This window comes from Homo sapiens, chromosome X, assembly GCF_000001405.40.
Source record: "Homo sapiens chromosome X, GRCh38.p14 Primary Assembly".
Lineage (NCBI taxonomy): Eukaryota > Metazoa > Chordata > Mammalia > Primates > Hominidae > Homo > Homo sapiens.
In genome coordinates, this window is record NC_000023.11 from 89,413,038 (window position 1) to 89,436,739 (window position 23,702).

At 35.8% G+C, this 23,702-nt stretch overlaps 1 long non-coding RNA gene across 2 annotated transcripts in view, besides 1 other annotated feature; it reads left to right on the forward strand.

Moving 5' to 3' along the window:
* Positions 1-23,702, forward strand: part of LOC102724150 (uncharacterized) — a 52,126-nt gene that overhangs the window by 9,909 nt on the left and 18,515 nt on the right. Inside the window, exon 2 of one of the 2 annotated variants that reach the window (XR_001755912.1) lies at positions 10,701-10,758. This is a non-coding gene — a long non-coding RNA (uncharacterized LOC102724150). Of the gene's footprint in view, positions 1-10,542; positions 10,759-23,702 lie in introns of those variants that run through there. The other variant, XR_938461.2, reaches the window with a different exon arrangement.
* Positions 19,486-20,249: an enhancer, noted in NCBI's record as "OCT4-NANOG hESC enhancer chrX:88687522-88688285 (GRCh37/hg19 assembly coordinates)". NCBI's record gives its function as "activates a minimal SCP1, AML or CMV promoter by ChIP-STARR-seq in naive and primed H9 embryonic stem cells {active_cell/tissue: H9 hESC(naive and primed)}" and the evidence as "EXISTENCE:reporter gene assay evidence [ECO:0000049][PMID:30033119]".

Sequence of the window (23,702 nt, forward strand, 5' to 3'; positions counted from 1 at the left end):
GTCAAATAACTTCTCTTTGTAGCTATTTAATGCTAAGTGATAAGTTTAACAGATGTGTTTACTCCTTTCTATTTATTTTGGTAAGGTTTACACACAAACAATATTTACTTTTACAGTTGTTTGTTTACGCCCTAGCTAAAGCTTCTTCAATGTACAATAAGGGGACACTTTCACTACCAGATATCCCACATTAATCTCTATTACTACCAGTTTGCCTTTAGCCTGAATGTTTCTTAGGACAAACATTAACAGCAGCAGCATTTAGAGATCCCCCTAACAACAGGTATCCCTCTAGACAAAAAGACTTGGCTTATAAGCATATGGAACAAGTTTTGGTATAACCGAGGTCATTGTACTGTAAATCTATTGAGATACATGAACAGGGATAACTACACATAGGAATACTTAATTTTTTTTGTAGTGTATCAGTTAGGTTTTTCTTCTGTGTAACAATGTACTCCAATGCTATATGGCTTAAAATAACAACAATTTTAATTAATTATTGTGCTAGTTGAAAAAGCAAACTATTCTGAGTTGGCTGGTTCCATGTGGGTTCATCCTTGGCATCATGGCCAGCTGTTGGGTTGACTGGGGGCTGGATGGTTTAGGAAACTGAGCTGGAACAGTATATCTTTGCTCTATGTTGTCTCTCATCCTCCAGCAGCCTTATGCACAGGCTTGTTCACAAGGCAACTGGACAAGTTTTCAGGGAACAAATAGAAGCCTAGGAAACTTAAAGCTCAGGCTCAGAAGTGGTACATAGTTACTTATCCTGCATTTGATTGGTCAAAGCAAGTCACAATGCAGGTTCAGAGTCAAAAGAAGGGAAAATAGATTATACCTCTTGTTGGGAGAAACTGTACAATAAAAAAGAAAAAGAGCAACATAACTAAGAATATAGCTTACCAAGGGGGTGAAATATATCTACAATAAGAATTGCAAAACACTGCTGAAGGAAATCTGATATGACACAAACAAATGGAAAAATAATATTACATGCTCATGAATAGGAAGCATCAATATTGCTTAAATGGCCATACCACCGAAAGCAATTTACAGATCCAAAGTTATTCCTGTCCAAGTACCAACATCATTCTTCACAGTATTGGAAAAATCTATGATAAACTTCATATGGAACCCCCGCCCCCCAAAAAAAGTGCAAATAGCCAAAGCAGTCCTAAGGAAAAAGAACAGACAGAAGAATCACACTACCAAACTGCAAACTATGCTACAAGGCTACAATAACCGAAACATCATGATACTGATACAACATATAGACACATAGACCATTGGAACAGGTTACAGAACCCAGAAATGAAGCTATTCATCTACCAACCACCTGATCTTCAGCAAATTTGGCAACAATACATGATGGGCAAAAGGCTCCATAGTCAATAAATTGTGCTGGGATAACTGGCTAGTCATATGCAGAAGACTGACTCTAAACCCTTTCCATTCACCATATGCAAAGATTAATTCAAGATGGGTTAAAAAACTTAAATGTAAGACCTAAAACAAAACCCAGGAGAAAATCTAGGAAATACCATTCTGAATATCAATTTTGGCAAAGAAATTCTGATTAAGTCCTCAAAAGCAATTACAACCAAAACAAAATTTGACAAGTAGGACCTAATTAAAGAGGTTTTGCCCAACAAAGGAGACTATCAACAGATTAAACAGACAACCTAAATAATGGGAGAAAATATTCATAAGCTATGCATCTAAGAAAGGTCTAATATCCAGAATCTATAAGAAACTTAAATAATTCAGGAACAAAAAAGAAATATCTTTATTAAAAATGGGCAAAAGACAAACAGACGCTTCTCCAAAGAAGACATATATGTGGTCAACAAATTTATGAAATAATGTTCATCATCACTAATCAGTAGAGAAATGCACACTAAAACCACAATGAGATCCTCACACCAGACAGAATGTCTATTATTATTTTTCTTTTCTTCTTTTTAAGTGTACATAAAAGCATTTTACATTATGAAACCCCGTATCTACTAATATACAAAAAATTAGCCGGGCGTGGTGGTGCACACCTGTAGTCCCAGCTGCTCAGGAGGCTGAGGCAGGGGCATTTTGTTTTATGTTTCTGCGTTACTTCACTTAGGATTATGGTCTACAGGTAGATCCTGTTGCTGCAAAGGACATGACTAACCTTTTTTGATGGCTGCGTAGTATTCCATGGTGCATATGTACCACATTTTTTTAATCAGTCCATCATTACAGGTATCTAGGTTGATTCCATGTCTTTGCTATTGTGAATAGTGCTGTGATTAACATATATGCATGCATGTGTCTCTTTGGTAGAATGATTTATTTTCCTTTGCATATATACCAAGTAGTGGGATTGCTGGGTCAAATGTTAGTTCTGTTTTAAGTTGTTTGAGAAATCCCCTAACTGCTTTTCACAGTGGCTGAACTAGTTTACATTTCTACCGTCAGTTTATAAGTGTTTATTTTCTCTACAACCTCACCAGAATTCATTGTTTTTGTGTTTGCTTGTTTTACTTCTTTTTTTTTTTTTTTTAGATGGAGTTTCGCTCTTGTTGCCCAGGCTGGAGTGCAATGGTGCAATCTCTGCTCACCACAACCTCTGCCTCCCAGGTTCAAGAAATTCTCATGCCTCAGCCTCCCAAGTAGCTGGGATTACAGGCATGTGCCACCATGCCCAGCTATTTTGTATTTTTAGTAGAGATGGGGTTTCTCCATGTTGGTCAGGCTGGTCTCAAACTCCCGACCTCAGGTGATCTGCACGCCTCGGCCTCCCAAGGTGCTGGGATTGCAGGTGTGAGCCACTGTGCCTGGCCTTTACTTTTTAATGATAGACATTCTGGGAACTTATCAGCACAAAGAAGGAAACAACAGACACTGGGGTCTACTTGAGGAGGTAGGGAGGAAGGAGAAAGAGGAGCAGAAAAGACAACTATTGGGTACTGGGTTTAATACCTGGGTGATGAAATAATGTGTACAACAAACCCACATGACATGTGCTTACCTATGTAACAAACATTCATATGTACACCCAAACCTAAAATAACAGGTAAAAATTCAAATACAACTGGCAATAACAATATAGAAAATATCAAGGTGATAACCATACTGTTACGAATGCAGTAAAGGTTTTCTGAAACTTGTGTCTGGGTGTGGATGAGTTTGTGTGCATATCCACGAGAGATAGTTTTCTTTCTATGTACTGTCTTTGTCTGGTTCTGGTATTAGGATAATGCTTGCTTCATAAAATGAATTAGAAAATATTCTGTAATGTTTCAGTTTATGAAATAGATTATGGAGAATTGGTATTAATTCTTCAGAAATTTGATAGAATTCTCTAATGAAACCATCTTGGTCTGGAGGTTCTTTTGTGGGAGTATTTGAAATTACAAATTCAGTATACTTAATATGATGGGGCTATTCAAATTATTTATTTTATATTGGGCGAGTTGTGACAGTTTGTTTTTTTAAGATGGGTCAATATTATTTAGTTTGTCAAATTTATGTATATAGAGACTTTCATAGTATTATTTTACTATACTTTTGCTGACTTCAGGGCATGTAGTGATATGTATCTCCTCTTTGGATATTTAATTTGCATCTTCTCTTAGTTCTAAGTTAAAGGTGTCGAATTGTAAGTAACAAACCAAATCTGAACATAGTATTGATGATGATGATGAGGATGATGATATACTTCATCGATTGCTGCCTTACTGAATTTTAATATATAGGCAATTCATATGCAATATTTTATTTAATTATAAATAGCAAACGAGAGCTTGACTATATTATCTATTTTCATATGCTCATAATCCCACAAATAGTAAGTAGCAGAGCCTATATTTGAGCATAGATCACGCTGACTCCAGTCTACCATTAGTATATATTGCAGAAGTTTTATTTGAATAGCCTGGTGAGAGGTGACAACGTGCTAGCAGCCTTCGCTTGCTCTCGGAAGCTCCTTGGCCTCAGCCTCTGCTCTGGCCACACTCAAGGAGCCCTTCAGCCTGCCACTGCACTGTGGGGGCTCCTCTCTGGGACTGGCGAGGCCAGAGCCGGCTCCCTCTGCTTGCGGGGAGGTGTGGAGGGGGAGGCGCAGGTGGGAGCTGGGGCTGAGTGCAGCACTCGCGGGTTGGCTTGGGTTCCGGGTGGGCATGGCCTGCCAGCACCTGCTGGGTTTGATCAGGGAATGAGCTCCTTCTGGGCTGCCGGAGTGCCCACGGGTGACTGCCAGTGAGAGGTGAAGCCAGCTGGGCTTCTGGGATGGGTGGGGACTTGGAAAACTTTTCCTCTAGCCAAAGGATTGTAAACGCACCAATCAGCACTCTGTGTCTAGCTGAAGGTTTGTAAACACAACAATCAGCATTCTCTCAAATCGGACCAATCAGCTCTCTGTAAAATGGACCAATCAGCAGGATGTGGGTGGGGCCAGATAAAGGAATAAAAGCAGGCCACCTCAGCCAGCAACGGCAACCTTCCATGCTGTGGAAGCTTAGTTCCTTTGCTCTTCCTGCTAAATGTTGCTGCTGTTGACTCTTTGGGTCCGTGCCGCCTTTGAGAGCTGTAACACTCACCACGAAGGTCTGAAGCTTCACTCCTAAAGCCAGCGAGACTAGGAACCCACCAGGAGGGAGGAACAACTCCAGACGGGAGGAACGAACAACTCCGGAGGCGCCACCTTTATGAACTGTAACACTCACCACGAAGGTCTGCAGCTTCACTCCTGAGGCCAGTGAGACCACACATCCACCAGTAGAAAGAAACTACGGACACGTCTGAACATCAGAAGGAACAAACTCCGGACATACCATCTTTAAGAACTGTAACATTCGCCGTGAGGGTCTGCAGCTTCATTCTTGAAGTCCACAAGACCAAGAACCCACCAATTCTGGACACGCTGGGATACTTTGTGACTTTGTTTACAGAGAAAAAAAAATATATTTTTTCATTCCAAATCTGTATTTAAAAATATGTATGGTCAGGCACAGTGGCTGATGCCTGTAATCCGAGCACTTTTGGAGGCTGAGGTGGGATCACTTGAGACTAGGAGCTCATATTGACCAGCCTGGCCATCATGGCAAAACCCCATCTGTACTAAAAATACAAAAGTTAGCCAGGTGTGGTGGTGCACGCCTATATTCCCAGCTATTCGGAAGGCTGAAGCATGAGAATTGCTTGAGCCCAGGAGGCCAAGGTTGCAGTGAGCCGAGATCCTGACACTGCACTCCAGCCTGGGCCACAAAGCAATATATATTATATATTATATATTATGTATTATGTAATATAATATTATATTATATATATTACATTACATATGTGTCTAGCTAAAGGTTTGTAAAAATTTATATATTATAGAAGTATACATTATACATGTGTTTTATTAATATTCATTTATAAGTTAGAGAATTATGAAATCACATGTTTCAAGGTTACTTGATATATGTCAGATTATTAATGATAATCTGATGAGCAATTTATAAAATGGAACAATTATGATGTTTTACATAATAGAGGTAACCTTAATAAACTACTAAAAAGTTACGATATTAGAGGAAAGTAAGTATTACTCACTAGAAGCTATAAGGTTCAATATGAAGATAAGCTTTGGCATATTTGGATTAGAGTCATTCACGACCTAAAGGGTTTTTTTACATTGACAATTTTAACACGCATATACTTTAAGCTAGGAATGACAAAAATATTAGTGAAAAGTTTTGTGTCCATTCACATTAAAACATAGTATTTTAAAATCTTGAGTTTTTCGAAATATAAATAATATTTAGTGTATTTTATTAGTGTTATATATATTTGTAGCTCTGATTACACTCACTATACATGAAATATACTCTTAATCATTTAATATTATTTCTGATTATTTTTCATGATGTTGCAAATTCTTTGTATATGCGGTTGTAAGTGACTGCATAACATCTCATCTAATTGATGACTTGTATGTATGCATTTTGCCTATTTTGGGGTACAGTTTATTTTTTTCCATTTTTGATTATCATAAGCCATTTTGTGATAAAAATGTGTGTGTGTGTGTGTGTGTGTGTGTGTGTGTGTTTATGATGTTTTCAGGCAATTTTCAAATAATAGGCTCTTAGAAGTAAAATTACTAATCCAGGAATTATTTTGTTTCAAATCTCTTTACTTGTTTAGGGAAGGATATGGCTACTTTGAAATGGAAACAAAAGATTTTAAATAAGAAACAATGAATAACATTATCCACAGAAAATCAGAGATTGAACCGTCAACATTAACATGGCATTTATCTTTTATTTTTTATTTACATTATTTTTTTAGACAGGATCTTGTTCTCTTGCCCAAGCTGGAGTGCAGTGTTGTGATCATATTTCACTGCAGCCTGGACCTCCCAGGCTCAATTGATCCTCCCACCTTAGCCTGAGTAGCTGGAACCATGGGCAGGGACCAGTACACCTAGTTAATTTTTGATTATTTGTAGAGACGGAATCTCCCTATGTTGCCCACGCTGGGTCTTGAAATCCTGGCCTCAAGCAGTCCTCCTGCCTCAGACTCCCAAAGTGCTGGGATTACAGGTGTGAGCCACCGTGCCTGGCCAGTATCTTTGTTGAAGTCTTCATAAAATCTTAACAGATTTTAATCTAATCTTAATCAGGTAAATATAAATTTCTTAAAATTTTTTTATTAAATTTTACCACCATCATTAACTCCCTTTATATACTTTATAGCTATGTTGAAATGTCCATAAATGACCTGTTACAGGAAAAGAATATTGGCAACATATTTTTAAAAATCAGATACACACACATGCATTAATTATACTATCATTATATTTTCATTAATTTTCTTAAGAATTGATATTCAAGTGTTAATAGTCTATTTCTCTTGTACCAGATTAATATTTTATGTCTAGTTTATATAACTATACATTTTTAGGTCTCTGAGACACTATGCACTTGACAGTAATCATAAATAATATGAGAATAAAGGAAATAGCCCATAATGTAACCAACTACCAGTGATTTAATTTTTCTAATTAATCTGTGTATTGGGGTTCTCCAGAGGGACAGAACTAATAGGATATATGTATATATGAAAGGGAGTTTATTAAGGAGAATTGGCTCACAGTAACACAAAGCGAATTCCCACGATAGGCTGTCTGCAACCTGAGGAAGAAAGAAGCCAGTAGTGGCTCAGTCAGAGACCAAAAGCCTCAAAAGCAGGGCAGCCGACTGCAGTCAGTCTTCAGTCTGTGGCCGAAGGCCTGAGAGCCCCTGGCAAAACACTGGTGTGAGTCCAAAGGCCGAAGAACGTGGAGTCTGATGTTCAAGAGCAGGAGGAACAGAAGAAAGCATCCGGCACAGGAGACAGACGAAAGCCAGAAGACTCAAGTCAGTTTATCCCACCTTCTTCCTCTAGCTTTGTTCTAGCTGCTCTGGCAGCGGATTGGATGGTGCCCACCCATATTTTGCTTCCTTTCCCAGTCCACCTACTGCAATGTTAATCTCCTCTGGCAACACCTTTACAGACACACGCAGAAACAATACTTTACCAGCTATCTAGGCATTCTTCAATCCAATCAAGTTGACACCTAACATTAACCATCACAATCTGCCTTATTGTTTGTGGTTTATAGCCCTGTTGCATGTACTATCATCCATATGCAGGCTTGTCCATCAATGACAGCTGTTTCTCAATGAACAAATACTAAGGGGTATACTTCAAGAAAAGTGAAGAAATATGTCACTCATTACAGTTTCTATTAAAAGCTATCAGAGTTTCCTATCAGAACAATGTGCTGTGCAGTTTGGTTTTATCAATATACTCGGCAGATACCAGATATCAATTGGACCCGATGTTTGAGAGTGCTACAAATCTTGAAGAAAATTTGAGTCTTGTCTGCATTAGTGCTTTCAAGTAGATAACTAAGGTAGTCATTTCAAAGAAGGTTGTTAGAGAGTACTAGCAAATAACACAAGTTTTAAAATAGTTTATTAGATGGGTAAATTTAGACTAGGGCAAAAATCCACATAAAGTTTCTTTTCCTCATTTAAAATGGGAAAATAATTTCTAATTTATGAGTTTGTGGTGAGAATTATGTAATTTAACATCAAGCACCTAGTAAACAGTAACTGTTGTCAGTATTACTAATTATTGGAGTCTTTAGTCATTAACATCTGAAATTCTGTTTTATATAGTTCTTCTGAAATCTTTTGTTACTCCCTTTTACGTTTTCTACAATACCTTTTTTCATTAGTCATCCTAATTGTTAAAAAGCCAAAATTACATCTCTAAAGTCACATTAAATTTAGTTTATAATATTACAATGCATAAATGCATAAGGGAAGTGTTTTGCCATAGTTTTATTGGCCTTTTTACTTTCACATTATTACATTACCTTCTGAAGTTAATTAAACATTAGAAACCCAATAAACATTCAGTGGAAAAGCTATAGGTTGAGGTGGTTTAAGGACATTCTTTATTTAGAAATGAGTATCTTTGGCCAAGAATATAAAAAAAAATAAAATGTGATACACTCTGGCATATGTCAACTAGATGTACTAACCAAGTGAATATTTTGACATTAAAAGTAGATGTTGAATTCTACACTTACAAAGTTGGAATGTCCTACTGCTCATTGTGCGAGTAGATAACAATGGGCAGAGATAACTTAGCCTCCTTTAACAACTTGCAGCTATTTGACAAAAAGCCAGAGGAAGATGAGAATAGTGGGACAAAGAATATAATAGCTATTTTCTCTGTGTATAAAATTGACCTTTTTTGGGGGATATTATTCTTACAAATGGTGATTAAAATATTTTCTGATAATATAGTCGTCATTATGTTAAAGATCCACTTCTAGGAAACATGTGCTTTGAAATTTTAAACGCAATCTCAAATAATATTACATAAATACATGCCTGATGGACATTGCATAGGCTGGAAAACATCGAAATACAAAACATTAGATTTATGCCTCTTGCAAAGTAAGCTCATTGACTTTTAAGTAAAGGTTTAAATAAACATTTAAAGATAATTGCAAGATGACATGAATAATCTGCAAAGAACACTTTCAATGATAGGTGATTATGTTAATTTGCTTTACTATTAGTAAGATTCAGTTTAAGCATGGCATTATTAGGTATGACTGAATTATTTAACTCAAGAAAAAATTTTTTCTCTTTTGGCAAGAGCTACCTTGCCATTTTATTACATCTCAGTTTCTGACTAACAATATATTATCCTCCAGCTAATATCATTTCATAATCATTTCTTATCGGTGTCTAGCTGATAGGCCTAGGCCATAAGCTAAGGTGGGGACTTACTCTTCATCAGTCTCTCAAATTTATTTGTCTCTGACATTATTTCTGGAGTTAATTATTATCATATAAGAAGCAACAACATAAGAAAGCATTGTTGAATTTTCACATTTCTATCATGTATATATATCTTACATATATAATATATATAGATTACTGTAGTGTACTATATATTTATAATGCTATGTATACATAGATATCTTACTATATATGTAGATATATAGTAAACAACTGTTTCAAATGCATTATATTATACAATATATATTATGTAAATATATACATTTTGATTATATATGTACACACATAAACACATACATATACATATGCACACACATACAATGGAAGTTACAAACTTCTGTCCTGCAATGAAAGCATAAAATATTATTTTCAACTTCCAAACATTTTAAATTGGCACCATAAAACACTATTAAATAAATGTCACTTGTTGTGGCTCATGCATGTAATTCCAGCCCTTTGGGAGACAAAGGTGGAAAGATTCCTTGAAGGTGAATAATTCAAGACCAGCCTGGGCAACATAGTGAGACTCCATCTCTACAAAAATAAAAAATAAGAGGTGTGGTGGCATGCACCTGTAGTCCTAGCTACTCTGTAGGGTAAGAGAGGAGGATTGCTTGAGCCCAGGAGTTCATAGCTGCTGTGGGTTATGATTGTGCCACTGCACTCCAGCATGGGTGACAGTGAGATCCTGTCTCTTAAAAAATGAAAATTTTTAAAATGTCATAAATATTTCAGTTCTATATATTATAGTGGCTTAAGATAGCAAACATGAGGAAACAAAGTAAAAATAAAGAGAAATTATCAGCACAATCTTTTTTTCATCAGGGTTCCAATATGGCCAACATTTTACAGATACAAAATCTCTAATCCAGGCTGCTATAGGTTGCACAATGAACGAAAAAGGGCAAGCAATGGTTGACATCACCAAGAGGAAAGAGATGTTAGTATTATCTGACAGAGATTCTAAAGCAGCAATAATAAAAATGCTTCAATGAGCACTTACCAAAGTGTTTCGAACAAATGACAAAATACAAAGTTCCAGCAAAGAAATAGAATTGTTAAACCTAAAAATAGAAGATATAAGAAGCAACAAATAAAAATTGTATAACAGTCCTATAGCTTGAATGTATCCCCCAAAGTTAATGTTTTGAAAAGTTAATACCCAGTGAAATAGTGTCAAGAGGTGAGACCTATAAGAAGCAATTAGATCATGAGGTCTCTGCCTTCTTAAGTGTATTAATACCATTATCAATGGAGTGGGTTCATTACCATGAGAGTGGGTTTGGTATAAAAGTGAGTTTGGTTCCCTCTTGTTCTCTCTCATCCACATGTGATGTCTCTCCATGTGATACTTCCTGCCATGTTATGCTGCAGCAAGAAGACCCTCACCAGATGCAGCCCCTCTATGTTGGACTTCCCAGCCTCCGGAAGTGTAAGCCAGAAAAACTTATATTGTTTATAAATTACCCAGTCTGTAGCATTCTGTTACACCAGCACAAAATAAACTACAACAAACTGTAAAATATAATAAACAAAAACTAAACAAAACTTTGAGTGTGCTCAACAGCACAATAGAGAGGCAGAGAAAAGAATTAGTGACCATAGCAATTGCCTAATTGCAGAGGTTGCAGTCCTTAGGAGTCACACATTGGCCATGGGTTGGGGTAGGGAGGCCCATGGGAAGGAGAGTTTGACTGCTCAACACCCAGATGAGGCCTACATTTTCCTTTTGCACTGCGCTCTGCAAATTGGACCTACTGTCATGGTTCTAGCTGCCAAATAAAAATTTTGCTAATAGGTTTAATTAGGTTACACGGAAATTGGTGCACTTTGTTTATGGTGCAGTGAAAATAGTACTGATTAGGACTCAGGAGAGATCAGTTTAAGAATCAGCCCTGTAAAAGGAAATTATTGACTTATTTTTTATCTTGATTTTCTATTCTCCATTTTGATTATCTCTGCTCAAAGCCTTATTATTTCCTTCTTCTGACTTGGATTTAGTTTTTTCTCCTTATTTAGTTTCATAAGACTTAAAGTTAGGTAGTTAATTTGAATTCTTGCTTCGTTTTCAATGTACGCACTTACATTTAAAAATTCCCTCTTAGCATTTTTTTGGCTGCATCTATAAGTTTTATTATTTTGTGTTTTTATTTTCATTTTTCTCAAGGCATTTTCTAATTTCTTTAGTGATTTTATCTTTCACTCATTGTTTTTTAAAGAGTGTATTGTTTAATTTGCACATATTTGTGGATTTTTCAGTTTTCTTTTGCTTCATTTCTACTTTTATTCAATTGTGATGAGAAGAGATACTTTGCATGATTTAATGTTTTTAAATTATTGAACGTGGGATATTGAAGTCTCTAAGAGACTTCAATATCCCACGTTCAATAATAGAAAAAATAAGACAGAAGTTTGATAAATGAAAAGAGAATTTGATAAACATTATAGACCAATTGGATGTAACAAACATATGTAACACAGAAGAATATATTTTTTTCTGAGTGCATATAGAATGTTCTCCAAGATAGACAATATGCTTGGCCACAGAAAAAGTCTTAATTAATTTAAAAACATTAAATCATGCAAAGTATCTCTTCTCGTCATCCCGTCAAATTCATCAGTATTCGCTTCACATATTTTCAGACTCAGACATTTGGTACATAAATGCATATAAGTGCAATAAATAGTATATATATATACACACACACACATATATATACATATATACACATATATACATATATATAGATAGATATAGGATTTGGTACTATCAATGGTTTTAGGCATCTATTGTGGGATGAGTCTTGAAACTTATGCCACGTGGATAAGGGAGGACTACTGTATCTTCTTGGTTATTTGAACACTTTATTATTACATAATGTCCATTTTTGTCTCTAGTAACTATTTTTGACTTGAGAATTATTTGTCTAATATTAATGTAGCCACTTCTGCTCAATTTTTTTTACTATTTGCATGAAATATTTTCCCCATTCTTTCACTTTCTTTGCTAAATATGTTTCTTCATTTTTTTCTTTTTTTATTTATGCATAATAGATGTACATATTTTCAGGGTATATGTGATAATTTGATACATTCATATAATGTATGAAAATCAACTATCCTTTCATTTTTACTGTATATCCTTAGATTTAAAATGAGTCTTTATAGTCAGTGTATAGTTAAATCATGTTTCTATTTTAAAATATTCTGCCAATCTATGTCATTTGATTGGGCAGTTTAAACTATTTACATTCAAAGTAGTTATTGAGCAGCCTCCACTGCTTTTTTTTTCTTCACTCTGGGAGGCCCACATGGCTCTGCCTCAACTTTCTATTCCCTGTGACTCACAGGACCTGAGAGATCAGTAGGGAGGACAACATGGCACTCCAGAAGCTGGGAAGTGGACAAAGAAAAGGCAAGGGGATTCCAAAGCTCATATAGCTCAAAAAGTTTAGTTTACTTGGATAGTCTTATTTGAGTTTTCATCTATACAATTTTTTTTGCAAAAGTGCCAAAATGGCCAACTAGATGCAGATAGAAAGAGCTTCCCCCACTAAGAGACTAGACTATCAAAAAGACCAGCATACTCCAAGCAAATTTTCAGGAAGAAGGCATTGAGAGTGGGTAAAGGGAGGACATAGACTGAAGGGGGAGGAAGCTGGGAACCCTGCACAGGGTTGGTGAGCACCCTTATATCCAAACAAACAATTGAACTAGCTCTCCAGCAATACTTTTTAACCAAGCTGATATGTCTAAAATATAAACATATAATTCAGAATCTGGATAACAATGAAGATCATGAAGATTCAGGAAAAAATTGAAACTCAAGCCAAGGAAACTAAGAAATTTAGTAAAATGATACAAGAGCTCAAACAGAAAATAACTATTATATGCAAAAACCAAACTGATTTTCTACAGCTGAAATTTTCACTACAACAATTTCATAATACAATTGGAAGTATTTACAGCAGAATAGACCAAGCTGCAGGAAGAATCTCAGAGTTCAAAGACCAGTTCTTTGAATCTCAGTCAGACAAAAATAAAGAAGAAAAAAATACAAAAGAATTAACAAAACCTACAAGAAATATGGAATTATATAAAGAGACCACCACACCTATGACACATTGGTGTCTCTGAAAAACAAGGAGAGGGAACTAGAAACTTGGAAAATATATTCAAGGGTATTGTCCACAAAAATTTCTCCAACCTCAGTAGAGAAAGCAATGTTCAAAGTAAGGAAATTCAGGGAACCCCTGTGAAACAGTATGCAAGGCAACCATCCCCAATGCAGTATATATATATATATACACACATATATATATATCACATATATACATATATAAGTATATATATGGCATATATATATCACATATATATACATATATAAGTATATATATGCCATATATATCACATATATACATATATAAGTATATATATGCCATATATATCACATATATACATATATAAGTATATATGGCATATATATGGCATATTATATATGGCATATTATATATGGCATATTATATATGGCATATATATATGGCATATTATATATGGCATATATATGGCATATTATATATGGCATATATATATGGCATATTATATATGGCATATATATATGGCATATTATATATGGCATATATATGGCATATTATATATGGCATATAATATATGGCATATTATATATGGCATATAATATATGGCATATAATATATGGCATATTATATATGGCATATATATGGCATATTATATATGGCATATCATATATGGCATATAATATATGGCATATCATATATGGCATATAATACATGGCATATCATATATGGCATATCATACATGGCATATCATATATGGCATATCATATATGGCATATCATATATGGCATATATACATGGCATATGTATATATATGGCATATATATATACATATATATATGGCAGCTAGAAATAAGGGGCAAGTTGCTTACAAAAAGAACCCAATCTGGCTAAGAGTAGACCTTTCAGCAAAAACCCTACAAACTACCAATGAGGTTTTCCACATAGTTAGAAAAATCACTTCTAAAATTCACATGGAACAAAAACAGAGCCCAAACAGCAAAGAAATCCTAAGCAAAATAACAAAGCCAGAGGCATCACAATAGCTGATGTCAAACTATACTACAAGGCTATAATAACCAAAAAGGTATGGTACTGGTACAAAAACAGACACATAGATAAATGGGACAGGTTAGAGAACCCAGAAATAAAGTCGTCCACCTAGAACCATTTGATCTTTGACAAACTCAACAATAGCAAGCAATGCAGAAAGAAATCCCTATTCAATAAATGCTACTAGGATAATTTACTAGCCATAGGCAGAAGATTAAAACTGAACCCCTTTATTTAAACAGATGTAAAAAGCAACTCAACATGGATTAAAGACTTAAATGTAAAACCTAAAACTATAAAACCCTAGAGAAAAACCTAGGAAATACTATTCTGGATATTGGTCTGGCAAAGATTTCATGGTGAAGACTCCAAAAATAATTTCAACAAAAATAAAAATTGACAAACGGGACCAAATTAAACTAAGGAGCTTTGACATAGTGAAAGAAACTACCAACACAGTAAACAGACAACCTACAGAGTGGGAAAATACACTTGCAGACTATACATCCAACAGAAACCTAATATCCAGAATCTATAAGTAACTTTACAAAATCAAGAAAAAAAGAAAGAAAGAACTCCACTAAAAATGGGCAAATGACATGAACAGACACTTCTCAGAAGACAAACACATGGCCAACAAGCATATGAAAAAATGCACAATATCACTAATCATTAGGGAAGCACAAATTAAAACCACAATGCAATACTATCTCACACCAGTCAGAATGGCTATTATAAAAAAGTCAAAAAATAACAGATGTTGGTGAGGTTGCAAAGAAAAGAGAATGCTTATACACTGCTGGTGGGAATGTAAATTAGTTCAGCCATTGCAGAAGGCAGTTTGGTGATTCCTCAAAGTATTTAAAACACAATTACCATTTGACCAAACAATCACATTACTAAGTATATACACAAAGGAATATAAATTTTTCTACCATAATGACATATGCACATGTAGGTTCATCACAGAACTATTCACAATAGCAAAGACATGGAATCCACCCAGATGTCCATCAATGGTGCACTTGATAAAGAAAATGTGGTTCATATATACCATGGAATGCTTCACAGCCATAAAAATAAGTAAAATTATGTCATTTGCAGCAACATGTATGCAGACAGAGGACATTATCTTACGCAAATTAATGCAGGAACAGAAACCAAATACCACATGATCTCACTTATGAGTGGGAGCTAAACGTTGAGTACACAGGGACATAAGGAAGGGAACAATAGACATTGGGGCCTACTTGAGGGTGGAAGGTGAGAGGAGATTGAGAATTAAAACCCTACCTATGTGATGCTATGCTCATCACCTGGCTGGTGAAATGATCTGTACACCAAACCTCTGTGACATGCAACTTACCCTTGTAACAAACCTGCACATGTACCCCCTAAACCTAAAATAGTGTTTGGAAAGAAATAAAAGACTTTTATACAATAACATGCCCATCTGCATTACTTAATTGTATCTGTATTGGAACAAAATTAAATTTGTAAATTACCTTAAGAACAATTGATATTGATAATATTGAGTTTTCCCATCTAATAACATGATTTGATTTTTCATGTGTTTATGTCTACATTCATATAACTTAGGAACTTTCTATGGTTTTTATTATATTCAAAACACATTTTTGTTAGATGTATTATTAGGTAGTTTATTTTGTTATAGTCTATTAAAAAGTAAACAGAAGTATAAAAATAATAAAATAATTATTGATAACTATGGACATTTTTTAAATTCATTCAAGTAATTTGGAAGCCTTTGTTTTTTAGACTTAGTTACTGAGATATTTTCCCCCCAGTTTTTATTTTGGTTTAAGGAGTACATGTGCCAGTTTGTTATACGGGTAAATTGCATGTCATGCTGGTTTGGCATACAGATAATTTTGTAACACAGGTAATCAGCATACTACCCAGTAGAGAGTTTTTCAATTCTCACTATCCTCCTACCTTTCAACCTCAAATAAGCTCCAGTGTCTATTGTTTCTTACTTTGTGTCCATGGGTACCAATGTTTAGCTCCCACCTATAAGTAAGAACATGTAGTCTTTGGTTTTCTGTTCCTGCATTAATTGACTTATGATTATGGCCTCCAGCTTCATTCATGCTGTGGCAAAGAATATGATCTAATTTTTAAAAATCTTTGTAGTATTCCATGATGTACATTACATGCACCACATTTTCTTTATCCCATTCACTGTAGGTGGCCATCTAGGTTAATTCCATGTCTTTGCTATTGTGAATAGTGCAGCGATGAACTTACTCATGTGTGTGTCTTTATGGTAGAATAATATATATTCCTTTGAGTATATACCCATTAATTGAATTGCTAGGTCAAATGTTAGTTTTGTTTTAACTTCTTTGAGAAATCTCCAAAGTGTTTTCCACATTGGCTAAAGAAAAATTAAATTCCCACTAACTGTGTAGAAGCCTTCCCTTTTCTCCACAACCTCTCCAGCATCTGTTATTTATTTATTTTTGACTTTTTAATGATAGCCATTCTGACTGGTGTTATTCTGATAGCCATTCTGATGGTATCTCTTCGTGGCATTGATTTGCATTTCCCTAATGATTTGTGATATTGAACATTTTTCCATATGCTTGATAGCCACGTGTGTATCTTCTTTTGAAAATTGTCTGTTCATGTCTTTGCCCATTTTTACATGGGATTATTTTTGCTTGTTGACTTGAGTTCCTTCTAGATTCTGGATATTAGACTTCTGCTGGATGCACAGTTTCCAAATATTTTCACCCATATTGTAGGTTGTCTGTTTACTCTGATAGTTTCTTTTGTTTTGCAGAAGCTCTTTAGATTGATTAGGTCCGATTTGTCAATTTTTTGTTTTTGTTGAAATTACCTTTGGAGGCTGCATCATGATTTCTGAGCAAGGGCCAATGTCTAAGAATGGCATTTCATAGGTCTTCCTCTATAGTTTTTATAGCTTTAGGTTTTACATTTAAGTCTTCAAGCTATCTTGAGTTGATTTTTGTATAGGGTATAAGGAAGGAGTCCCATTTCAACATTCTGCATATGGCAAGCCAGCTATCCCAGCACCATTCATTGAATGGGGATTCTTTCCCAATTGCTTGTTTTTGTCAGTTTTGTCGAAGATCAGATGTTTTTAGGTGTGTGGCTTTATTTGTGGCCTTTCATCCTTTCCTATTGATCTATGTGCCCATCTCTGTACCAGTACCATGCTATTTTAGTTATTTTACCCTGGCACTATAGTGTGAAGTTGGATGTTATGATGCTTCCAGCTTTTTTCTTTTTGCTTAGGATTGCTTTGGATGTTTGTTATATTTTTGTTCCACGTGAATTTTAAAAAAGATTTTTCTGATTATGTGAAGAATGGCATTAATAATTTGATAGGAGTAGCACTGAATCTGTAAATTGCTCGGGTCATTCTTGTGGCCATTTTAAAAATATTGATTCTTCCTATCCCTGAGCTTGGAGTGTTTTTCCATTTGTTTGTGTCATCTTTGATTTCTTTGAGCAGCATTTTGTAATTCTTGTTGAAAAGATCTTTAACTTCTCAGGTTAGTTGTTTTCCTAGGTATTTTTGTGTATATGTATGTGATTATTGGGAATGGAATTGTATTTTTGATTTGGCTCTCAGCTTGGACAGTATTGATGGATAGAAATACTACTGATGTTTGTACACTGATGTTGATTCTTGAAACATTGCTGAAGTCATTCATCAGATCTAGAAGCCTTTGTACAGAGACTAGAGGATTTTCTGGGTATAGAATTATAATGTCTTTGAAGAGAGTTTGACTCCCTGTCTTTTTATTTGACTGTCTTTTGTTTCTTTGTCTTGCCCGATTGCTCTGGATAGGATTTCCAGTAATATGCTGAATAGGTGTGGTGAGAGTGGGCATCTTTGTTTTGTTCCAGTTTTCAAGGGAAATTCTTCCAGCTTTTGGTTATTAAGTATGATGTCAGCTGTGCAGAAGCTATTTAGTTTAATTAGGTCCCATTTGTCAATTTTTCTTTCTGTTGCAATTGCTTTTGGCATCATTGTCATAAAATCTTTGTCAAGGCTTATGTCTAGAATGGATTTTCCTGGGTTTTCTTCAAAGGTTTTTATAATTTTAGGTTTTACATTTATGTCTTTAATAATCTTGAGTTGATTTTTGTATATGGTGTAAGAAAGTGGTTCACTTTCAATCATCTGCATATGACTAGCCAGCTATCCCAGCTCCATTTATTAAATAGGGAGGCCTTTTCCCACTGCCTTTTTTTGTTGACATTTTCAAAGAACAGATGGTTGTAGGCGTGTGGCTTTATTTCTGGGCTCTCTATTCTGTTCCATTGATCTATGTGTCTGTTTTTGTACCACTTCCACGCTATTTTGGTTACTGTAGCCTTGTAGTATAGTTTGAAGTTCAGTAATGTAATGCTTCCAGCTTTAATGTTTTTTGTTTGTTTGTTTGTTTTGTTTTTCTTAGAATGTCTTTGGCTATTCCGGCTCTGTTTTGGTTCCATATATATATATATATTTTTTTTTTTTATAATTCTGTGAAGAATGTCATTGGTACTCTGATAGAAATGGCATTGAATCTGTAAATTGCTTTGGGCAGTATGCCCATTTTTATGATATTGATTCATCCTATCCATGAGCATGGAATATTTTTCCATCTGTTTTTTGTCATTTCTGATTTCTTTCTTTCCTTCCTGCCTTCCTGCTTTCTTTCTTTCTGTCTTTCTGTCTTTCCTTCTTTCATCATCTTCTTCTGTTTTTTTTTTTTTTTTTTTTTTTTTTTGACAGGGTTTTACTCTGTCATCGAGGCTGGAGTGCAGTGCTGCGATCTCAGCTCACTGCCACTTCCACCTCCCTGGCTCAAGGGATCCTCCTATCTTAGCTTGCTGAGTAGCTGGGACCACAGTTGCGTGCCACCACGCCTGCCTCGCTAATTGTATTTTTTGTAGAGACAGGATTTCGCCATGTTGCCCAGGCTGATCTCAAACTCCTGGATTTAAGCGATATGTCTGCCTCGGACTTCCAAAGTGCTGGGACTACAGGCGTGAGCCACTGTGCCCTGATTTTTTGAGCACTGTTTGGTAGTTCTCCTTGAAGAGGTCTTTCACGTCCCTGGTTAGCTTTATTCCTAGGTACTAATATTTTATTCTTTTTGCAGCTATTTTGTAAAGAATTGTGTTCTTGATTTGACACTCAGCTTGGATGTGGCTGGTGTATAAAATGGTACTTATTTTTGCAGATTGATTTTTAGGCAGGAGAATAGGGCTTGGAGGCAGGTAACCTAAGGCCAATTCGTGCTGAGTCACAGAAAAACATCAAGCTCTGTGGGCAAGGAATCTAAGGGCAATTCACTCTGACTTTTCAAAGCTGGATCAAAAGGAAAACACCTGGGTCTGGGGGCAGGGAACCTAAGGCCAATTAACACAAAATTCCTAAAGCTAAACCAAAAGGAAAAACCCCATCTCCCACAGGGAGTAACAAAGGAACAAAGGCTACTCTCCCAACAACCCTCCCTCCCCCTTCCACCATCTCAGTTGGAAAGGGAGAGTACCTTGGATTAGCCACAGGCCAAGCAGGGACCATCCCTTTATCTGCATTGGGCACCAATTCACAGCAGCCTTTAACCACAGACCAAATCCTTCATCCAGATAAGGGGTAGTCCAAGAACCTCAAACAGAGTTCTTAAAGCCCAGAAACTTTTGTAACTGGGCCATGGGGCCGCTTGCTGGGACCCACTCCCTCCCTGCAGAGTGCTTTCTCGCTTTAATAAATTCTTGCTTTCACTGCTTCGTTCTTGCATTTCATTTCTCTGCTACTTTGTGCGTTTTGTTCAATTCTTTGTTTAAAACGCCAAGGACCTAGAGAGTGTGTAGTCAAGACCCACTACCGGTAATAATTTTGTATCATGAAACTTTTCTGAAGCTGGTTACCAGATCTAAGAACTTTGGGGCAGAGACTATGAGGTCTTCTAGGTATAAAATCATATCAACTACAAAGAGAGATGGTTTGAATTCCTCTCTTCCTATTTGGTTGCCTTTCATTTCTTTGCTTGATTGCTCTGGCTAGGACATTCAGTACGATGTTCACTAGAATTGTGGAGAGTGGGCACCCTTGTCTTGTTCCATTTCCCTAGGGGAATGTTTCCAGTTTTTGCCTGTTTCCTAAGATGTTGGCCATGTGTTTGTCATAGATGGCTCTTATCATTTTGAAGTATGTTTCTTCAATGCCTAATTTGGTGAGAGTTTTAAACATGAAAGAATGCTGATTTTTGCTGAAAGCCTTTTCTGCATCTATTGAGATGATCATTTTTTTAAAGTTCTGTTTATGTAATAGACCACATTTATTGATTTGCATGTGTTGAACCAACCTTGCCTCCCAAAGATAAAGTCGACTTGATCATGGTGGATTAGCTTTTTGATGTGCTGCTGGATTCATTTTGCCAGTTTTTTTTCTTTCTTTCTTTCTTTTTTTTTTTTTTTTTTTGAGCATTTTGGCAGTGTTTGTTGTTGTTGCTGTTGTCATTGTGTCTCTGCCAGGTTTGTTATCAGAATAATGCTGGCCGCATAGAAGAGTTAGGCAGGAATCCCTCCTCTTAAGTTTTTGGAACAGCTTCAGTTAGAATGGTACCAGCTCTTCTTTATACATCTTGTAGAATTCAGCTTTTAATTAATCTGGTTTTGGGCTTTTTCTGGTTGGTAGGCTTTTTATTACTGATTCAATTTTGGAACTCATTATTGGTCTGTTCAGCATTTGAATTTCTTCCTAGTTCAATTTTGAGAGGTTGTATGCTTCTCGGAATTTATTCATTTTTTCTAGGTTTTCTAGTTTGTGTTCATAGAGGTGTTTGTAATAGTCACTGATGATTTTTGCATTTCTGTGAATGTTGTGATAATGTCCTCTGTCATTTTTGGTTGTATTTACTTGGATCTTGTCTTTTTTTTTCTTTTCTTTATTATTCTAGCTAGCAGTCCATCAATCTTATTTATTCTTTCAAAAAACAAACCTAGTTTTATAAAAATTTTCTGTATTTTTTGTGTCAATTGTATTCAGGTCTAATTTTGCTTATTTCTTTTGTTTTCTGCTTGCTTCTGAGTTGGTTTATGCTTACTTTTCTAGTTCTTCTACATTTGATGTTCAGTTGTTAATAGAGATCTTCATGATAGTTATTTGAACATATTTATCATGGCTCCTTTAAGTCTTTTTCTGTTATATCTGATAGCTCCTCATTTTTACATACTTTTCCCATTGTTTCCTTTTTTCTGTGTATCATTCACACATTCCTATTTATTTGCATATCTTGTAGTTTTTTGATAACTGAACGTTATAGGTCATATATTGTGGCAATTTGGGGTACTAAGTTTTTTTTTTTTCCTGTCTCTGTTTCTGTTGTTGCTTACTTTGTTATTATTATTATTTTTAACCTGGCTAGGCCATTTTAGTGAAATTGATTGCTACAGCAGTTTGAAGCCTTTTGTGTTCCTCCTTTGAAGTCACCTACATGGCTGTGTATAATCACCCTGAGATTGTAGTGGCTTTGTCAGAGATCTCTTTGATTATCTCTTTTCATACTTTTTCTGTAAAACTCTCTGCATCATTTGGTATTATTTCCCTCCAGTTCAGCTTCATTATCAGCTGATTTCTCTATTGTATTCAGCAATACCCTGAGTGAAGTATTGCTCAGCAATTTGATCCAGATAAGTTGGGTCAGGAATAGTATTTAAGGCCAGTCTTTAAACTTTGTCATGACTTTAGGGTCGCTATTCTTAGCTACATTTTTTCATACATTCTGGTAAAGTATCTGGCCTATGTTTCAGATTGCTGATCTTGATTGAGAAGAGCCATTGCTACTGAGAGTGTCCTTAATTTAAAACTCCTACATGTTCTATAAAGTCATATTTTGTAAGGGGAGCTTCATAGCTCTCTTTCCTTATACTCTTCCCTTCTCTCTGGCTAACTATATGACTAACTACTCTGGGCACTAGGCAGGCCACTAGACTGTGCTCTCTTATGCTTGCCTCTCCTAACATGGAAACTGCCCAATAAATGAGCTAGGGCAATAGCATTTGGGGGTCCCAGAATTCTCAGCTTACCACATTTGGGTTAGAGCTTCTATCCTCTATGTAGAGACTGGGTGTAGGTAAAAGGTCCCACTTCTTGGTCACACTCACTATTAATTTGGCCTCTTTAGCTAGGAGTTGGAGGAGATAAAACATGTTGATGACCTACCCCTCTAGGTGAGAGATAGAGTAAACCTTAATTTGGATTTGAGAGTAGAGAGTCTATCCTCTTGGCTATATCCACCCGATATAAAATTTCTGTCAAGATGAGCCCAGGATAGGTGAAGGAGAAGGTCTCAGATACCATGGGGTCTCTGTGCTCTTACTAAGTTTTAGTAGATTTTTAAAATAATTTAGTTTTGTTAATTAGGACGATTTCTAGGGACATTAAGTGGTTGTGATTTTAAATGTTTTTATGCTAGTTAGGCATTTTTCACAAGGGAGTGTCTCTGTGAAACACTACATGTCATCATTCTGAAAGAAAAGCACTCTAGTTGGTTTGTTAAAATGAGCATGTATGCAAGGAAAAAAAAATTATCAGACAATAAACATTATACATAGTTTTAATTGCATTGATGGGAGTGGGAGTTTTGCATTTTCACATCTCACATAATGGATGAACAGAGAACTTTAGTTCTTAGTAAGAAAACAAAAACATTGAACCATGGATAGAACAGTGGGGAGCTCTCTTTTGAACAACTTGTAGGTTGATGAGTAAATCAACACTAGCACTTATGTCTATCCAGAAAATAATCAGGAGATTATCACAGCTCATGAGATAAGCACAGTAGATACGTTATAGCTTTTAAACAAATTTCTTTCTAAACACAATAAAAGGAGAAATTTAATTGTTTTGCTTAAGATAAAAACCTAAGTAGGCTGGGCGCGGTGGCTCATGCCTGTAATCCCAGCACTTTGGGAGGCTGAGGTGGGTGGATAAGGAGGTCAGGAGGTCGAGATCATCCTGGCCAACATGGTGAAACCCCATGGCTACTAAAAATACAAAAATTAGCCAGTGTGGTGGCGTGCACCCGTAGTCCCAGTTACTCAGGAGGGTGAGGTAGGAGAATCGCTTGAACCCAGGAGGTGGAGGTTACAGTGAGCTGAGACAGCACCACTGCAGCTTGGGCGACAGAGCAAGACTCGGTCTTCAAAAAAAAAAAAAAAAAAGAAAGATAAAAGAAAG